The 20,614-nt window shown below is 47.6% G+C and overlaps 5 annotated features.

The window, feature by feature from the left end:
• Window positions 8,190–8,349: an enhancer, noted in NCBI's record as "active region_3584". NCBI's record gives its function as "activates an Ori minimal core promoter by ATAC-STARR-seq in GM12878 lymphoblastoid cells {active_cell/tissue: GM12878}" and the evidence as "EXISTENCE:reporter gene assay evidence [ECO:0000049][PMID:35858748]".
• Window positions 15,904–17,103: an enhancer, noted in NCBI's record as "P300/CBP strongly-dependent group 1 enhancer chr10:75691709-75692908 (GRCh37/hg19 assembly coordinates)". NCBI's record gives its function as "activates an origin of replication core promoter dependent on BRD2, BRD4, P300/CBP, MED14 and CDK7 cofactors, with strong dependence on P300/CBP, by STARR-seq in HCT116 cells {active_cell/tissue: HCT116}" and the evidence as "EXISTENCE:reporter gene assay evidence [ECO:0000049][PMID:35650434]".
• Window positions 16,620–16,669: an enhancer, noted in NCBI's record as "active region_3583". NCBI's record gives its function as "activates an Ori minimal core promoter by ATAC-STARR-seq in GM12878 lymphoblastoid cells {active_cell/tissue: GM12878}" and the evidence as "EXISTENCE:reporter gene assay evidence [ECO:0000049][PMID:35858748]".
• Window positions 16,810–16,859: a silencer, noted in NCBI's record as "silent region_2497". NCBI's record gives its function as "represses an Ori minimal core promoter by ATAC-STARR-seq in GM12878 lymphoblastoid cells {active_cell/tissue: GM12878}" and the evidence as "EXISTENCE:reporter gene assay evidence [ECO:0000049][PMID:35858748]".
• Window positions 16,980–17,039: a silencer, noted in NCBI's record as "silent region_2496". NCBI's record gives its function as "represses an Ori minimal core promoter by ATAC-STARR-seq in GM12878 lymphoblastoid cells {active_cell/tissue: GM12878}" and the evidence as "EXISTENCE:reporter gene assay evidence [ECO:0000049][PMID:35858748]".

Here is a 20,614-nt window from a genome sequence, read left to right as displayed (position 1 = left end):
GAACACCCCTACTTTTCCTTTGACTTGTGGATCTTGCCGAAGGAGAAGAAAGTTGCTTGTCTCCAAGAAATTTGCTCAAACCTGACCTTGGGAGAAGGTGAGCCTAGGACCAAGTGGGTGTCAGAATCTTTGCAAGACATCCAGAGAAGTCTCTTCTGAGCATGACACTCTATTTTTTCAGGCAAGCCCAAATGAGTTTTTTCTTTTTTTCTTTTTTCTTTCTTTTTTTTTTTTTTAGATTAAGTCTCGCTCGATGGCCCAGGCTGGAGTGCAGTGGTGGGATCTCGGCTCACTGCAACCTCCGCCTCCTGGGTTCAGGCGATTCTCCTGCCTCAGCCTCCCGAGTAGCTGGGATTATAGGCGCCCGCCACCACGCCTGGCTAATTTTTGTATTTTTACTAGAGACTGGGTTTCACCATGTTGGCCAGGCTGGTCTTGAACCCCTGACCTCAAATGATCCTCCTGCCTCGGCCTTCCAAAGTGCTGGGATTACAGGTGTGAGCCACTGTGCCAGGACAGTTTTTTTTCTTCTAATCAAAAAAATTTACACATTTTTATAGTGAATATTCAAACAACACAGAAAAGCACAAAGAAGAGAATCAATCACCTATAGTTCTATATCCTAGTAATAATATGATCTAGAGATAATAGTACTTTGGTATAAGTTCTTTCAAACTTTAAAATTCACATACATATAAACACATATGTACACACACATCTATGTTAATATATGAGATGCCTGACTGACATATTTGCCTATTTTCATTTATTTTATACACTTTTCAGCTGGAGCTTTTACTTTCTTTTTTTTTCTTTTGAGACGGAGTCTTGCTCTGTCACCAGGCTGGAGTGCAGTGGCATGATCTCGGTTCACTGCAGTCTCCATCTTCCGGGTTCAAGCGAGTCCCCTGCCTCAGCCTCCTGAGTAGCCGGGACTACAGGCCGGCTAATTTTTTGTATTTTAATAGAGACGAGGTTTCACCATGTTGGCCAGTATGGTCTTGATCTCCTAACCTCCTGATCCGCCCTCCTCGCCCTCCCAAAGTGCTAGGATTACAGGCATGAGCCACCACGCTTGGCCTTTTTTTTTTTTTCTTTTGGAATAAGTTTAAGTTTACAGAAAAGTTGCAGAGATAGTAGAGAGAGTTATTGTATACCTTTCACTCAGCTTGCCTTAATATTAACACATGACATACTATAGCACATTTGTCAAAACTAAGAAATTAACGGTGTTACAGTACTATTAACTAAACTACAGACATTATTCAGATTCTACCAGTTTTCCACTTATCTCCTGTTTATTTTTTCTTTTCTTTTTTTTTTTTTTTTTTTGTTTTTTTTTGTTTTTTTTGTTTTTTGGAGACGGAGTCTCATTCTGTCTCCCAGGCTGGAGTGCAGTGGCATGATCTCGGCTCACTGCAACCTCCGCCTCCCAGGTTCAAGCAATTCTCCTGCCTCAGCCTCCCAGGTAGCTGAGATTACAGGCACCCACCAATATGCCTGGCTAACTTTTTGTATTTTTAGTAGAGATGGGTTTTCGCCATGTTGTCCAGGCTGGTCTCAAACTTCTGACCTCAGGTAATCCACCTGCCTTGGCCTCCCAAAGTGCTGGGATTATGGGTGTAAGCCACTGCACCTGGTCTATGTCCTGTTTCTGTTCCAGGATACCACACATTGTGTTTAGACACATACTTTTGTTTTGTTTTGTGTTTTGAGACAGAGTCTCACTCTGTCACCTAGGCTGGAGGGCAGTGGCGTGATCTTGGCTCACTGCAAACTCCGCCTCCCGAGTTCAAGCAATTCTCTGCCTCAGCCTCCCGAGTAGCTGATTACAGGCGCCTGCCACCATGCCCCGCTAATTTTTTTGTATTTTTAGTAGAGACAGGGTTTCACCATCTTGGCCAGGCTGGTCTTGAACTCCTGACCTCAGACGATGCGCCCAACTCGGCCTCCCAAAGTGCTGGCATTACAGGCATGAGCCACCGCGCCCAGCCTAGACACACACATTTTTACAAATTTCAACTGTTTCTTTGTTTCTTTTCTTTCCCCACCACATGCATCAGAGTGCCTTCCTACATTTTTCCATCTCCTTGCCTTCAGGCCAAATGTTTGCTCTCCTGGCATGTTTCTCCATATACTGCTTTTGGGACCCATCAGTGTCAAGTCTCGCTAAAGACTCCTTTGATCAAACGAACCCTGCTCCCAGTCCCCTCTCCGGGTGGGGTCATTCTAGTCAGGAGGTTTGACCATCATGGGACACTTCCCCTAGGACTGGATAGGATCCACTGCATTCTGCTTCCTTTCAGTGTGGGTCTGCCCTGTACTTGCCACTGTAATTCCAGCCCCACAATGCCCGGACCTGTCCTCTGGGAGCCTAAGCCTTTACCTGTTATCTCATCCACATAATTTCCTGTGCCACCTTGAAATTCCCCTAAGTTGCCTGAAGCATCTTTGTGGTCCTTCCTTTGAAATGGCTACCCAAGTTTTATATAGCCACCAACTATTCCAGTCATTAAGGGGACTCTCCTGATGTCCTTATATTGACCATCTGTGTGAAACTTTTCAAGGGCAATTTTCCTTCCCTCCAGTAGAGAGAGCTGGAGAAATATCTTCAGCTCAGGTATACCATTTTTCATCTCTGGTAAAGAAGTATCCTCTTTTATTTTTTTACCCCATTCATGCCCTGTCTATTCATCCTTCTCCTTATCCCATAAGAGACTCACTATAATGTGTTTAATGCATGTCCTTGGGTATATAGACATTACTGAAAGATATACAGTGCTCTTTTATGGGTAGGTGTGACTTTAGTCTACATAAATGGTGTTATACCCTAGATCTTATTGTATTTCTTTTTTATGTGACACCTGTTTTTAAGCTTGTTGTGGGGGTCTAAGCACTTTTAGTTCACTGTGGCTGACTGCTGCACAGTACAGCAAAGTATGCGTTTACATTTTGCTTCCACGTTTCTGTAGTGATGTCCCCCTAGGTTGTCTCCACGTATAATCCTCTGATGAATCTGCTTGTTTATGTTCCTCTGGGGACATGAGATTGCTGGCTCATTGGCTGTATGCATATTTAAATTCATGAAATTGTGTCCAGAATTGGTGAGTTCTCTGTCTCACTGACTTCAAGAATGAAGCCATAGACCCTCGCGGTAAGTGTTACAGTTCTTAAAGGCAGCGTGTCCAGAGTTTTTTCCTTCTGATGTTTGGAGACATCTAGAGTTTCTTCCTTCTGGTGGGCTCGTGGTTTCGCTGGCTCAGGAGTGAAGCTGCAAACCTTCCCTGTGAGCCTTAACAGCTCATAAAAACAGTGCGGACCCAAAGACCGAACACAACAAGATTTATTGCAAACAGCGAAAAAACAAACCTTCCAACAAGGAAATCCAAGCGGGTTGCCACTGCTGGGTCCAGCAGCCTGCTTTTATTCCCTTATCTGGCCCCACCCACATCCTGCTGATTGGTCCATTTTACAAAGAACTGATAGGTCTGTTTTACAGAGAGCTGATTGGTCCGTTTTGACAGGGTGCTGATTGGTGCATTTACAATCCCTGAGCTAGACACAAAAGTTCACCAAGTCCCCACTAGATTAACTAGACACAGAGCACTGATTGGTGCATTTACAAACCTTGAGCTAGATGCAGGGTGCTGATTGGTGTATTTACAATCCCTTAGCTAGACATAAAGGTTCTCCCAGTCCCCACTAGATTAGCTAGACACAGAGCAGTGATTGGTGCATTTACAAACCTTGAGCTAGACACAGGGTGCTGATTGGTGTGTTTACAAACCTTGAGCTAGACACAGGGTGCTGATTGGTGTATTTACAATCCCTTAGCTAGACATAAAGGTTCTCGAAGTCCCTACCAGATTAGCTAGATAGAGTGCTGATTGGTGCATTTACAAACCTTGAGCTAGACACAGAGTGCTGATTGGTGTATCTACAATCCCTTAACTAGACATAAAGTTTCTCCAAGTCTTCACTAGACTCAGGAGCCCACCTGGCTTCACCTAGTGGATCCTGTACGGGTGCCGCTGTCAGAGCTGCCTGCCAGTCCCGCGCCATGGGCCTGTACCCCTCAGCCCTTGGGCGGTCTATGGCACCAGGTGCCGCAGAGCAGGGGGCAGTGCTCATCAGGGAGGCTTGGGCTGCCCAGGAGCCCACGGCCGCGGGGTAAGGCTCGGGCATGGCAGGCTGCAGGTCCCGAGCCCTGCCCCGCGGGGAGACAGCTAAGGCCTGGCGAGAATTCGAGCACAGCACCCGCGGGCCGGCACCACTAGGGGACCCGGTACACCCTCTGCAGCTGCTGGCCCGGGTGCTAAGCCCCTCACTGCCCAGGGCCGGTGGCACCAGCCGGCCACTCAGAGTGCGGGGCCACCGAGCCCACGCCCACTCAGAACTTGTGCTGGCCCCGGTTCCCTCCCACTCTCCCTCCACACCTCACTGCAAGCAGAGGGAGCCGGCTCTGACCTCAGCCAGCCCAGAGAGGGGCTCCCATAGTGCAGCGGCAGGCTGAAGGGCTCCTCAAGCACGGCCAGAGTGGGCGCCAAGGCCGAGGAGGCGCCGAGAGCAAGCGAGGGCTGCCAGCACGCTGTCACCTCTCAAAATAGAGTCAGATGGCTTCCAGAATAGCCCTACAAGTTTATAATCCCACCAACAGTTGTCCCCTTTTCCCCACATCCTTTCCAACACTTGAAAGGCATTATCTGACTTGCCTAACTTTCGACAATTGAGGTGACACCAAGTGATATCATGTTTTAATTTGCATTGCTCAGGGTACTTCTAAGATTGAGCTTTCTTTTTTTGAGATAGGGTCTCACTCTGTCACCCAGGCTGGAGTGCAGCCTTCACCTCCCAGGCTCAAGCAAGCCTCCCACCTCAGCCTTCTGAGTAGCTGAGACTGCATGTGCACATCACCACGCTTGGCTTTATTTATTTATTTATTTATTTATTTTGTAGACACGGGGTCTTGTTATGTAGTTGAGGCTGGTCTGGATGTCCTGGGCTCAAGCAATCCTGCCTCAGCCTCCCAAAATGCTGGGATTACAGGTGTGAGCCACTGTGCCCAGCCAAGGTTGGGCATCTCTTCACACACTTGCCAGCCATTCTAATTTCCCTTCTGTGATTTCTGACTTTATTCTTTGCTCACTTTTCCATTGGATTTCTGGCCTTTTTCTTGTTGATCCCCAGGAGTTTCTTGAGCATTCCAGATATTAATCTTGTGTAGCTTTAGACATTGCAAATCTCTTCTTCTGAATGGAAGAAATCTGCTTGGAGGGGGTTTGAGCTCACTATCAGGAAATTAATATAATTCATTTGCTGAGATCCAGCCTCTCCTGCTAAATCTCTTGAGTCCCAATCACCCTCCCTAATCTAAGAACAATTAAGCTATTCCCCATTTTTCTAACCCATTTATGGAAAGTAGTGTTTGGGGCCAGTGTGGTGGCTCACACCTGTAATCCCAGCACTTTGGGAGGCTGAGGCAGGGAGATCTCCTGAGGTCAGGAATTCGAGACCAGCCTGGCCAACATGGTGAAACCCCATCTCTACTAAAAGTACAAAAATTAGCCAGGCATGGTGGCACACACCTGTAATCCCAGCTACTTTGGCAGGCTGAGGCAGGAGAATTGCTTGAACCCGGGAGATGGAGGTTGCAGTGAGTTGAGATTGGACCACCACACTCCAGCCTGGGTGACAGAATGAGACTCAGTCTAAAAAATAAAATAAAATAAAAGTAGTTAGTTTGGGTTTATATGTCTAAGCTGTCCTCCAAAATATCCATTTTGATTGCTGTATTACTCAGGATAGTGATGGTTTGTGGGAGGAGGGAGGGTTGTGATTTGAACAGTGCACACAGAAGGTTTTCTGGGGAGGCTGGAAAATTTTTTTATTTTTTTCTTCTTTGAGACAGGATCTCACTCCAGTTGCCCAAGCTGGAGTGCAATGGCACAATCTCGGCTCACCACGGCCTCAACCTCCCGAGCTCAGATGATTCTCCTACCTCAGCCTCCTGAGTAGCTGGGACTACAGGTGCACACCACCACGCTTGGCTAGTTTTTTATATTTTTAGTAGAGATGGGGTTTCGCCATGTTTCCCAGGCTGGTCTCAAACTCCTGGACTCAAGTGATCCACCTGCCTCGGCTTCCCAAAGTGCTGGGATTAGAGCCATGAGCCACCACGCCTGGCCTTATTTCTTAATCTGGGTGGTTTTACCTTATAATAATAAATTAAGCTATACATTTGATTTGTGTGGTTTTCTTTTCTATGCCATGTTTTACAATAAAAGATTAAAATATATGTCCCTCAGTTACCTTTCATTTTCCACTGCTCTTCAGTTTGCAAGACTAAAATTCATTTTTCTTTTTGAGACAGAGTCTTGCTGTGTTGCCCAGGCTGGAGTGCAGTGGTGCGATCTCGGCTCACTGCAACCTCTGACTCCCGGGTTCAAGTGATTCTCCTGCCTCAGCCTCCCAAGTACCTGGGATTACAGGCGCGCACCACCACACCCGCCTAATTTTTGTATTTTTAGTAGAGATGGGGTTTCACCATGTTGGTCAGGCTGGTCTTGAACACCTGACCTCGTGAACCACCTACCTCAGCCTCCCAAAGTGCTAGGATTACAGGCGTGAGCCACTGCGCCCGGTCCTAAAATTCATTTTTCAAAACAATCTAGTTTCTCCCCGAGTCAAAGCAAACCTGATTCCCAGACATAGACTGCTCTGAAAATGGGCTTTTTCAATTACTACAAATCGGATATTCCCCTTTATTGTCCACCAGTAAAACTGACCACCCTCTGGTGGCTGAATCCACAGCCATGGCAAGGGTCTGGGCAGTCAACCTGTCAGGCCAATGCCGGGCCTGAGAGTGGAGGAGGGTAGGACTCAGGGACCTCTGAACCTGCTTCGTGAGCCTAAGGGCTTAGCTTGGCCACGGTTCCCTATTAATAGGCTCTGGGTCATGTACAAAACAAGAGAAAGATGACAGAATCTGGGAAGGCTGCTACCACTAGCGACCTAAGGACTCAAAACTTCACACACAAATATGAAGAACCATATATAAAGAAGTGGCTATGGCTGGGAGTGGTGGCTCACACCTATAATCCCAGCACTTTGGGAGGCTGAGGTGGGTAAATCACTTGAGCCCAGGAGTTCAGGACCAGCCTGGGCAACATGGTGAAACTCCACCTCTGCTAAAAGTAGCAAATATTAGCCAGGCGTGGTGGCACACACCTGTAATCCCAGCTACTCGGGAGGCTGAGGTGGGAGGATCACCTGTGCCCAGGAGGCGGAGGTTGAAGTGAGCCGAGATGGTACCACGGCACTCCAGACTGGGTGACAGAGGAAGACCCTGTCTCAAAAAAGAATTTAAAAAAAAGTGGTCATATATAAAAAGCTGCTTTTTCCAGTTTAAAGTTTCCATTTGCAATACATTGGATGAGAATGGGTGAAGGGGCGCCAGCAAGCTGTGGTGGCATAAACTGCTTGACTCACAGTGACTAAAACCTCTGTCTATTTGAAGTGAGCCTTTGCCAGACCCAAAAGGCTCTATTTTCCAAATCACCTGATACCACCTTTGGTCAAGGCACTAGCCATGGCAGCTGCACTAAGCCACAGGCTCCCATAAGCTATTTTTATCTCAAATACTCACTAGGACCCACTGGGTAACCAGTATGCTCAGGGAAAGGTTTGGGGCCCTGAATCCTACCTTCCACCCCAGAGGGATAAAGACCATGAGGACGGTGAGGAAGCATTTTTATTAAATGGTTGATTGAGGCTCCTGTATGCCCTCAGAACAAGGCTTTTCAGTAAAAGCAGGTCAGAGAATTTGACTTCGGCCAGGAGGTCTTAGCAAGAAATCCTGCTCCCTCTTTCTGAATCAGAGTTCATGACCCCAACCAGCTGCACGGAGGAGGATGGCTGCCCTGCTCAGAGAGGCCAGGCCCTTTATGGTCACCACGTGGAGCCGGGAAGGAGAAGAGAAGAAATAGGGTCATGAATTCCCACCCAGCAATCGGACATTTCCCTCCCTGGGCTCAGCAGTCTTGCCCTCAGACCTGGACTTGCCCCCTTCCTCAGCAGCACTTTCAGAACAATCCCTTAGCCCACAGCGTGGCAATAAACAACCGTGCGGTAAACAGAGCTTGTCTTCTTTGAGTCCCCTTGAGCCCAACGTCTTCGTGCTGCCCACCAGGCCACCCCCACGCAGTGTCTCCTACTCCAGCCAGAGCTCGGGGCACCGCCCCATCCCGGGTCGCCTTTCACCGCCAGCCCAGCAGGGGCCGCCAGAGCGATGCAGATGAAGCCAGAACCGCGCCCGGGCCGCGGAAGGAAGACTCCCACGGGCCGCCCTCGGTTCTTGACGCTCAGTCCAAGTGCCCAGTGGGGACAGGCGCTCTCAGGCTCCGGTTTGGAGCTCTCCTTACCCTTCTCAGAGGTGAAGACTGAGCCAGACTCCTTCCGTTTTATTTTTATTTTGTATTTTTTGTAGAGACAAAGTCTCACTTTGTTGCCCAGGCTGGTCTCAAACTCCTGGGCTCAAGCAATCTTCCCGCGTCGGCCTCCCAAAGTGCTGGGATTACAGGCGTGAGCCACCGCACCTGGCCCCGTTTTATTATTTTAAAAAATGTTGGCCGGGCGCAGTGGCTCACGCCTGTAATCCCAGCACTTTGGGAGGCCGAGGCGGGCGGATCACGAGGTCAGAAGATCGAGACCATCCTGGCTAACATGGTGAAACCTCGTATCTACTAAAAAATACAAAGAAAATTAGCCGGGCGTGGTGGCGAGCACCTGTAGTTCCAGCTACTCGGGAGGCTGAGGCAGGAGAATGGCGTGAACCCAGAAGGCGGAGCTTGCAGTGAGCCCAGATCTAGCCACTGCACTCCAGCCTGGGCGACAGAGCAAGACTCTGTCTCAAAAAAAAAAAAAATGTTTATTACTTCCCTTTCAAAGCTCTAGATATAGATAGATACAGATTTTTAATGCCAAAACAAAGTTACTGAAAGTGTGGTATATCTCAAATGTGTATACTTAGCAAGTCAAAGCTGTGACCCCCACACCCAAATAAATAAATAAATGAGTAAAAGAAAGCCAGGCATGGTGGCTCACGCCTATAATCTCAGCACTTGGGGAGGCTGAGGCAGGAGGATCACTTGAGTTCGGGGGTTCGAGACCAACCTGGGCAACAAAATGAGACACCATCTCCACAAAAAATACAAAAATTAGCTGGGCATGGTGGCGCATGCCTGTAGTCTCAGCTACTTGGGAGGCTGAGGTGGGAGGATCACTTCAGCCCAGTAGGTCCAGGCTGCAGTGAGTGGTGATGACCCACTGCACTCCAGCCTGGGTGACAAAGCCAGGCCCTATCTCAAAAAAAGAAAAAATGCCCAAAGCTGTATTTTGTATTTTTTGTAGAGAGAAAGTCTCACTTTGTTGCCTAGGCTGGTCTCGAACTCCTGGGCTTAAGCGATCTTCCTGCGTCCGCCTCCCAAATTGCTGGGATTACAGGCGTGAGCCACCGCGCCTGGCCCCGTTTTATTATTTTATTATTTTTTTTATTTATTATTATTTTTAAAAATGTTGGCCGGGTGTGGTGGCACACACACACACACACACACACACACACACACGCAGAGAGAGAGAGAGAGTTGACGAAAAGAGTCAAACTGTGTAAAATATTTGAAGAGATTTATTCTGAGCCAAATATGGGTGACCATAGCTTGTGATACAGCCCTCAGGAGACCCTGAGAACATGTGCCCAAGGTGGTAGGGGCACAGCTTGGTTTTATACATTTTAGGGAGGCATGAGACATCAGTCAACACATTTAAGATGTACATTGGTTAGATCCAGAAAGGGGGGACAACTCAAAATGGGGAATGGGGTACAGAGCCTTCAAGATTATAGGTAGATTAAAAAATTTTCTAGGCCGGGTGCAGTGGCTCATGCCTGTAATCCCAGCACTTCGGTAGGCTGAGGTGGGCAGATCATCTGAGGTCAGGAGTTTGAGACCAGCCTGGCCAACATGGCAAAACCCTGTCTCTACTAAAAAATACAAAAATTAGCCGGGCGTAGTGGCAGGCACCTGTAATCCTAGCTACTCAGGAGGCTGAGGCAGGAGAATCATTTGAAGCTGGGAGGCGGAGGTTGCAGTGAGCCAAGATTGCACCACTGCATTCCAGCCTGCACTCAAGACTCCATCTCAAACAAACAAACAAAATTCTCATTGGCAATGGTTAAAAGAGTTATCACTAGAATGAAATATCTAGGTTATGATAAGAGGTTATGGAGACCAAAGTTTTATCATGCAAATGAAGCCTCCAGATAGCAGGCTTCAGGAGAGAATAGATTGTAAAGGTTATTTATCAGACTTAAGGTCTATGTTGTTGTTAATGCTGGTCAGCTTTTCCTGAATTCCAAAAGGCAGGAGGGCATTATGAGGCAGGTCCAACCCCCACTTCCCCTCATGGCCTGAAAACAGTTGTTCAGGTTAACTTTGGAGTGGCCTGGCCAAGAGGAGGGAGTCTCTTCAGATGGTGGGGGTAGCCTTAGATTTTTATTTTTGGTTTACAACAAACACACACACAGAGTCCCATACACACATATGTGTATATATACATATATAATGCAACATAACAGAGCAATTCACAAGCCATATGAAGATAATGAGTTTACAGCACACCATAGGGCTGGTAATGGTAGCAAGTTTAGGATGCATGTCTTCACCTGATCCCGCACAGTGAGGCTGAATGTAGCTCTGACAGGTGTGTGACCCCACACATTTAAGGTCTGTATCTGAGGCCCTACATAATCTGAGGCCTTAGCCAAATGCCCCCCCGCAGTCCACTGCCTACTCTCCACCCCCATCCTCATGGTCCAGGCCACCAAGAAATATTATACTCAATGAAAAGTGGAGAAGAAGCCAGGGAGTCCAAAGTTACTGGGCCTCTTCCTCCAGTTCCCAACTTGCCACCACAGTAGAGAAAGACTCTCAGCTGGCTTGGGGAACACAGTTGGACAGCGAGGAGGCAGCTTCTCTGTTCCTGGGCTGCTCTCTGTATCAGCCTCCACCCCAAAAGTCTCCACCTTGGTCCATTATCCCCTCTCCTTAGGCCCCAGAGCCTCTTCCTGTGTTTGTGTTGTTTTTGTCAGAGCAGGAAGTCTTCCTGGAAATCCACCAGAAATCCAACATCCTCCTCCTTCCCCAGGGGACCCTGGCCTTAGGCATACACCCCACCCCACCTCAGCTCTGGCTGAGGCACAAGGCCAGAATCACAGGAATCCATCTTCCCAGGAACCCTGCCTTGCCCTCAGGCTCTGCGTCAGCCCCATCCTACCTCCCCACACTGCAACACTAAGAGCAGCAACTCCCTGCAGTAGAAAACAGCAATAAGGGAGAAAAAGCTCGTCATTTCTAAAGGAAATGTGAAAAACACAGAAGTGTACACAGAAGAAAACCACCATAACCTGGATGTCCACTATGCCGCTCTTTTTGGTATCCCTTTTCCACCAGAAGCTGACAGCTGAACCATGACTCCCCAACCACATCTGCACACATGCACAGGCTCTCCAGCTTCTCCTCCTTGTTTGGCTGTCAGAATCCTCACCTCATCTAGTTGGTGTGGGAGAGGATAAGGCTAAAGTGAGAATGACCGACTGTGTTCACTCTCCTGTGTTATAGACTAACAGCTGAGGGTATCCTTGGAGTCCATGAAATACCTGTCCTGCTAGATGCTCCTGGAAGAGGGAGTTCTGAGATCATCTATGTTGGGAACACCATCTACACGGCCCCATCCTGTATCCATCAGGTTGAAGTCCAAAAAGTGCTAAAAACTAAGTTTTAAAAAATAACAGGCTGGGTGCTATGGCTCATGCCTGTAATCCCAGTACTTTGGGAGGCCGATGTGGATGGATCACTTGAGGTCAGAAGTTTGAGACCAGCCTGGCCAACATAGTGAAATGCCATGTCTACTAAAAATACAAAAATTAGCCCAGTGTGGTGGTGTGTGTCTATAATCCCAGTCACTAGGGGGGCTGAAACAGGAGAATCGCTTGAACCCAGGAGGTGAAGGTTGCAGTGAGCCGAGATCACACCACTGCACTCCAGCCTGGGCAACAGAGCAAGACTCCGTCTCAAAAAACAAAACAAGACTTAGGGGTAAAACCTGACCTAAAATGATGTTGTGGCTTTTCAGATTTTTTACTTAGCCTACTTAGTATGAAGATGCATATGTTTTGCTGCAGAAGTATGTGCTTGATTACAGGGCCTGCCAGCTCTTCTGGGTGCAATGGAATAAATAGTGGAATAAATAGCATATTCACCATTTACCTTATTAAAACCTGAAATATTCTGAAATCCAAATATATCTGGTTCCAAGGGTTTTGGGTACTGGATTGTGAGCTGACTAAGTTCATTGTATGGATGTTTAACCTGTTCAAAGCATATTAAGCCTTGTTGTAGACAAGAAACTAACCTCACATAACATTCTCCAAATTTATTTGGCTACAAACCCCTTTGTTCCACTTGCTACCTATAAATATATCACAAAATTGCCATGTGGACCCTTGGGAAACATGGAATGTTTCGAAGACTTTAACTCTCTAATAGTGAGTTTTCAGATGTAGAAAAAGGGTAGATCTTCCAGAGGGCTCTTAGATCCCAGGCCCTAAGACTGGGCAAGGTGAGAAGCTGGTATAGGGATGACTGAGGCAAGCCTTTGATGGTTTACATGGGCCCGGGACAGGGCCATGACCTGCTGGAAAACCTAATTAAGACAGACACATATGTCAAACCAGAGAATCAAATCAGAAAGCCAAACAAAAATCAGGAGGAAAACAGTTAAAAGTTGAGCTAAAGATCAGAAACTAGAAGATTTTCAGGACTTAAAGCGCTCAGGGCTCTACGTTCCCAACAACAATGAATCTCTGAGACTAAGCCAACTTTCGCCTCACCCTGTGAGCTTTTATAAGCTTCCTGGAAAGATCTGCACCCATTCTGTAGTTTGCAGGTAGAAAGACAAGTGAGAGCTCCTGGTTAGCCTGTTAAATCCCTGAAGAGGCAGCTGGGACCCACCTAATGTCCTCTCTTGATGCAGGAGAAGGTATTATATTCAGGTACAATATTGAGGGACTTGTGAGAAGAGCAGATTCAGGCAACAAGCATTTGAATCCATTCTTTGGGTCTCCAGTTTCTCTGCTGCTGATGTTACAATTCTTTGAAATCATGCATTGACCAAACGTGTTGGACTTGGGTCCCATGTCTCAGCATGATCAGAGCAGGGTGCCCTGGTCTGGCAGAATATGCTGGTGAGGAGTTGGACATCTTGGCTGGTACCCCTTAACAGTCCCGGACCTGAGAGGTGGCAGGAAACCCCTCAGAATTAGTTCTGGGTAACTCTAGGGAAATTCATTAGCAGTTTCCTCTGGGCTCTTAAGGCTGGTGCTTGGAAGCAGCAGGAACGTCAGGAAAGGATGTGCTGTGTCCATCCCAGGCTTTACTGGAGCTGACTCCTGTCTCTTGCTGCTATAAGTACAGTATTTACAAGGCCTTTAAAAAATGTCTCTTCCTGCCCGGGCATGGCAGCTCACACCTGTAATCCCAGCACTCTTTTTGGGAGGCCAAGGTGGGTAGATCACTTGAGCCTAGGAGTTTGAGACCAGCCTGGGCAACATAGTGAGACCCTGTTGTCTCTATTAAAAATATAAAAATTAGCCAGGCATGGTGGCACACACCTGTCAGCTACTCAAGAGGCTGACATGGGATGATTGCTCCAGCCCAGGAGTTCAAGGCTGCAGTGAGCTATGATTGCAGCACTGCACTCCAGCCTGGGCAACAAGCAGGCAAGACCCCATCTCAAAAAAAAAAAGAAAGAAAAAAGAAAAAACTCCCTTCCAAAATTCTCACGCTCACCCCTTGACTACCTCTCTGTGCCTGCCCTCTACAACTTATTCTCTAGGATTTCTCAGTTGTGACGTTGATATTTTGAGCATCCTACATTGTAGGATGTTAGTTACCTATGAGATGCCAGTAGCATCTTCCCAGTTGTGACAACCAAAAATGTTTCCAGACACTTTCAAATGTCTCCTGAGGGCAAAATCACCACCCTTATTGACAACAACCACTGCTCTATCTGAATGGGGAGGTCGCATGGCAGACAGTGCATGTCTGGGTGAGATCCCCACTCTCCCTGGGCTAGCTGTGCCCCTAGACATTTATATTATTCCATTTGTGACCCTGTAAGATTTTCTACTAAATTTAACCTCTTTGAGCCTCAGTTTCCTCACTTACTTACAAAACATTAAATAGAAAAAAATGATAGTAGGCCAAGCACGGTGGCTCACGCCTGTAATCCTAGCACTTTGGGAGGCCGAGGCAGGTGGATTACCTGAGGTCGGGAGTTCAAGACTAGCCTGGCCAACATGGCGAAACCCTGTCTCTACTAAATAAACAAAACATTAGCCGGGTGCAGTGGCACGCACCTATAATCCCAGCTGCTCTGGAGGCTGAGGCAGGAGAATCGCTTGAACCCGGGAGGCAGAGGTTGTTGTGAGCCGAGATAACGCCACTGCACGCCAGCCTGGGCTACAGAGTCAGACTTCGTCTAAACAACAACAACAACAACAAAAACAAAAAACAAAAAGAAAAAAGAAAAGAAAAAAATGATGGTAAAAATCTCAGGCGCTTTTTGGAAGTGTTAAATGAGCTAATGCATAAAAAGATTACAGTGCTTGGCAAAACAGCATTCCAATACAGGTAGATTATTAACCCCTGTCCCCCAGGGCTTCACACCTGTTCAAGGTGACCACTAACTGACCTTACATTAGCTTATAAAATACTCTATGATCTGACCTTACCTCTGTGGCTTCATTCTTCCACACACCCTCTCCAAACTCAATACTCCAGACATGTTGACTGCTTGCAGTTCCAAGGAAGCAGTCAAGTTTTATACGGCTCCTGCAGTCTTTGCGTATGTTGTGCTGTTCCCTGTGCCTGGAGCTCTCTTCCCCTCCGACTAACTCCTGGTCTCAGCTTGGATATCACTGGGTCCAGAAAGGTCTTTTCTCCCCAGGTCTGGGCAGAGGAGCCTCCTTTGCAATTCCCTGGTGTCTGCACTTCTCATCATCACGCTTCTGACACTGCGTGTTCATTGCCTTGCTGTCTGTCTGAATTGCTCTCCCAACTGGGATCGCTGTGAGGCAAGGGATGCTGTTTTGTAGACGCTGAGTCTCCAGAATCCAGCACAGCTCCTGACATCATCCTATAGAGATTCCGTAATTCTTGTCCAGTTAAGGACGAACTGTACGAAGTGCTTAGCACTAATATGGAAAAGGACTCTCTTTTTATCTTCCTTCCCAGGTAACCATGTTTTATTCTTTCCATTTGAGTAGGTAGTACTTGCAAATGGAACACAATTTAAAAGTGATCAAAGGATATGTGGAAAAGAGTAGTAGCAATTTTCCTTCCTGGAGGTCACTACATTTCTGGTTCGCCCGCAACCTTCCAGAGACAGTCCAACTGTGCATTTTATTTTTATTTTTATTTATTTATTTGAGATGGAGTCTCACTCTGTCACCCAGGCCGGAGTGCAGTGGTACGATCTCAGCTCCCTGCAAACTCTGCCTCTTAAGTTCAAGTGATTCTCGTGCCTCAGCCTCCTGAGTAGCTGGGATTACAGGTGCATGCCACCACGCCCAGCTAATTTTTGTGTTTTTAGTAGAGACGGGGTTTTGCCATGTTGGCCAGGCTGGTCTCTAACTCCTGGCCTCAAGGGATCCATCGCCTAGGCCTCCCAGAATCCTGGGATTACAGGCGTGAGCCACCATGCCTAGCCCCAACTATGCATTTTAAATGGAGCTTTCGTGATCTAGCGACTGGACTCTCCTAAGCACTACCCCACTGTCAGGTCTCCAGTCTGGGCAATCAGCAAAAGTCCTCCCTATTGCCCAAATCCCACCTTCGCTAGTCAAAAATAATAATAATTCACTGGGGCAGGAAATAAACTTTCAACTCTCCCTAAAGGGCAGCAGGGTAGGAAGTGGCAGGCAACAGAGATGAAGGCAAGGGGGAAGTCTTGTAGATCCCAGCACGCCCACCCTCAAGTGTCCTAGACTGTCTACACATACACACACACAGAGAGAGAGAGAGTGTGTGTGTAAAAGCAGAAGCTGTAGGAAGAAGATGCTCTAGGGGGACACCCCACCCCAACTTTCTTCTTTTTGAGAGGGAGTCTCACTCTGTCACCCAGGCTGGAGTGGTGCAATGGCACAATCTCGGCTCATTGCAACCTCCACCTCCTGGGTCAAGTGATTCTCCTGCCTCAGCCTCCTGAGTAGCTGGGATTACAGGCGCCCGCCACCACGCCCAGCAAGTGTTTATATTTTTAGTAGAGACAGGGTTTCACCATGTTGGCCAGGCAAAACTCCCCTGCAAAGCTCCCCTTCCCCCGTCACTACCTTGAGAAATCAAAGGGGAGCGTCAGGCCCAGCTTCGGGCTTCCTGCTCCCTCCCCAATGAGGGGAAGAGAACTTCAATGCTGAGTCATTTCCCATCGGGTTGGGCTTTACCTGGGAGTTTGAGTCACCATGCAGGTGTCGGGAGGGAGAGGTGCTGCCCAGCATGACACATCTGCCTGTTCAGGAAGGAGGTTAGCCACTTGGGGTAAGGCACTGAGGGTTCCAGGGACCACTCCATGTCTGACCCTGGGGCTAAGAACCCCTACTGCTCTGTGAGGGGTTTTACAGTCCCAGGCCAAAACCAAGGACTTAGGGGTGAAAATTAAGAGCCAGGGCTCCTTTGCTTGTCTAACACCTCTTCCCTTCGCTCTGCTTTCTCCCCTCCAACCCGCAGGCACCCAGCCATCCTGGGTGCATCTCCCAGCATCTCAGCTGGCGAAAACACAACCTTCCTGACAGGGCTTAGGTAAAGGCCCCACAGCTCCAGACACAATAAACAACGTCATTTCCCTTCTCCCCTCTGAGTTGGGAAGAAAATCCTAGACCTGAGGAGCACCAATGAGAGTCTGATCCCAAGGCAGCTTCAGGGGCTGCCCAAACCTTTTAGCCACACCAGGGGCTTCCTGGAGCTGAACAGCCCAACCCCAGGAGGCTGGACTCTAGATGGGGGATCCCCACCCGACTTTCTTTCTTTTTTTTGAGACAGAGTCTCGCTCTGTCACCCAGGCTGGAGTGGTGCAATGGCACAATCTCTGCTAACTGCAACCTCCACCTCCTGGTTCAAGCGATTCTCTTGCCTCAGCCTCCCAGGTAGCTGGGACTACAGGTGCCTGCCACCACGCCAAGCAAATTTTTGTATTTTTAGTAGAGACGGGGTTTCATCATGTTGGCCAGGCTGATCTCAAACTCCTGAGCTCAAGTGATCTACCCACCTTGGCTGCCCAAAGTGCTGGGATTACAGGTGTGGGCGAAAGATTACCTAGGTGCTGAGGCAAGAGACTGAAGGCACAAACTGTTTCAGTATAATAAAGAAAATAGTTAGAATAAGAATAGTCATAATACAAATTAGATATAGAGATGATCATGGACAATTATCAATCATTATTATAAACATTATTAATCATCAGCTTTTACTATTACTCTTTGTTGCATTACTAATATAACCTAGGAATAACCGGTGGGTATAGGGTCAGGTGCTGAAGGGACATTGTGAGAAGTGGCCTAGAAGGCAAGAGGTGAGCCTTCTGTCACGCCCGCATAAGGGCTGCTTGAGGGCTCGTTGTTCAAGTGGTAACACCAGTGTCTGGGAAGGCACCCGTTACTTAGCAGACTGCAAAAGGGAGTCTCCTTTCCTTGGAGGAGTCAGGGAACACTCTGCTCCACCAGCTTCTTGTGGAAGGCTGGATATTATCCAGGCCTGCCTTCAGTCATCCGGAGGCCTAAACCCCTCCCTGTGGTGCTGTGCTTCAATGGTCACACTCCTTGTCCACTTTCATGCTCCTCCCGTACTCCTGGTTCCTCTTTGAAGTTCCTAGTAGATAGTGGTAGAAGAAATAGTGAAAATCTTAAAGTCTTTGATCTTTCTTATAAGTGCAGAGAAGAAAATGCTGACGTATACTGCCTTCTCTCTCTGCTTCGGCTACCTAAAAGGGAAGGGCCCCCTATCTTGTAATCACGTGACTTGCTTCACCTTGTCAATCACTTAGAAGGTTCACCCTCCTTACCCTGCCCCCTTGTCCTGTATGCAATAAATATCAGCAAGCCCAGCCGTTCGGGGCCACTACCGGTCTCCACGTCTTGATGGTAGTTGTCCCCAGGGCCCAGCTGCTTTCTCTTTATCTCTTTGTCTTGTGTCTTTATTACAATTTTTCGTCTCCGCACATGGGGAGAACACCCTCTAAGCCCCGTAGGGCTGGACCCTACATACAGGCATAAGCCACCTGGCCTTGTAGCTTTATTTTTAATTGACAAAAAATAAATGTATATATTTATGGGGTACAATGTCATATTTCAATAATGCATATGTTGTGGAATGATTATATCAGCCTGATTAGCATACTGTCACCTCACCTCAAATATTTATTATTTCTTTATGGCAATAACATTTAAAATCCTGTTTTAGCTATTTTGAAATATACAATACCTTCTTATGAACTCTAGTCACTGTGCTGTGCAGTAGAACACAAGAGCTTTTCTTCCTATCTAACTGTAACTTTGACCTATTGACTGCCTCCCCTTTATCCTTCCACCCCTACTGCTTGACTTTCATGGTCCCTCCAGCCACTGTTTCCATTCTCATTAGTTAAACCATGCTAACTGTGGAAGGCTAAATAATATCCTCCCAAAGATGTACACATCCTAATCCCTGGGGCCAACGATTCTGCTCCCTTACATGGCAAAGATGACTTTGCAGATGTGATTAAGGACTTTTTTTTTTTTTTTTTGAGACAGAGTCTCTGTCACCCAGGCTGGAGTGCAGTGGCATGATCTCGGCTGACTGCAATCTCCACTTCCCAGTTTCAAGTGATTCTTCTGCCTCAGCCTCCCAAGTAGTTGGGACTACAGGTATGCGCCACCACACCCGGCTAATTTTTTTTGTATTTTTAGTAGAGACGAGGTTTCACCTTGTTGTCCAGGCTGGTTTCAAACTCCTGACCTCACGCCCACCTTGGCCTCCCAAAGTGCTGGGATTACAGGCTTAAGTCACCAGACCTGGCCTAATTTAAGGATCTTGAGATGGGAAGATTATCCTGATGGACCCAATGCAATCCTCAGGGTCCTTCTGAGAGGGAAACAGAGGACCAGAGTGGGTGAAGAGGATGTCATGACGGAAGCAGAGGTCACCGTGATGTGGGGTCATGAGCCAAGAAATGCAGGCAGCCTCTAGACTAGAAAAGCAGGGAAATGGATTCTTCCCTGGAGCCTTCGGAAGGAACCCAGCCCTGCTGACCCATTTTACATTTCTGACCCAGAGAATTGTAAAATAATACATATGTTATTTTAAGCCGTTAAGTTTGTTACAGTAGCAGCAGGAAATTAATACATTAACCTCTTTCTACAGTGAGCTTCACGCCACCCAAGCCACCCTGCCCACTTTCCAACCTGAGGCCCCTTCCACCTTCCCAATCAATCTCCCCTGGATTTCCCACATGGAAACCATAACTAGCCTTGCCCTCAGGCTTCCACCAAATTGTTTCCTTGGCATTCCTTCACCTTCTCCTGTTTCCTGACCCTTCCCAGATCTGCATCTCCCTTTAACCTGATAGGTTTTTTTGTTTTTTTTTATTTTGTTTTGAGACAGAGTCTTGCTCTGTTGCCCAGGCTGGAGTGCAGTGGCGCAATTTCAGCACACTACAACCTCCACTTCCCACATTCAAGTGACTCTCGTGCCTCTACCTCCCGAGTAGCTGGGACTACAGGTGTGCACCACCACGCCCAGCCTAACCTGATAGGTTTTTTTGTTTCATTTTGTTTTTTAAGAGCTCAGGCTGGAGTGGTCACAGCTCACTGCAACCTTGACCTCCTGGCCTCAATAGTCCTCCTACCTTAGCCTCCCAAGTAGCTGGGACTACTGGCGTGCATCACCGTGCTCAGCTAATTTTTAAAACAATTTAATTTTGTAGAAATGGGGGTCTCATTCTGTTGCCCAGGCTGGTCTCGACCTCCTGGGCTCAAGTGATCCTCCCACCTCAGCTTCTCAAAGCCATGGGATTAAGGCATGACCCCCATATCCAACCAAACCTGATAGTCTTTAACTCTATCTATTAAAATAATCCGGTGTGAGACATTTAAAAAACATCAAGGTCCCAGCCCAGACCAATGAAGTCAGACTCTGTGGAGGTGGAGCTCAGGTTATCACATAATTTTATAAAGCTCCTCAGGTGATTCTAATGTGCATCCAGCATTGAGAACACCTGCCAACTTGTTGCTCCTCAGTAATCACACTTTAGTATGCGCAAGAATCACCTGGAGAACTCTGAATGTAGATGCCAGGGCCCCACGCCCAGAAAGTCTGGGTCAATACCTCTGATGGGGGCTCAAGATCCTGCTTTTCTAACAAGCTCTCCAGAGGTTCAGATGCAGGTAGCATTTGGAATATTAAGAGACACTTCCATTGCCCTTCTGTCTGCTCCCTTCCCAGGAGACTCAGCTAATTAGATGAGTTCCTTA

Source organism: Homo sapiens, chromosome 10 (genome assembly GCF_000001405.40).
Source record: "Homo sapiens chromosome 10, GRCh38.p14 Primary Assembly".
Classification (NCBI taxonomy): domain Eukaryota; kingdom Metazoa; phylum Chordata; class Mammalia; order Primates; family Hominidae; genus Homo; species Homo sapiens.
This window is presented reverse-complemented; position numbering and strand designations above follow the sequence as displayed.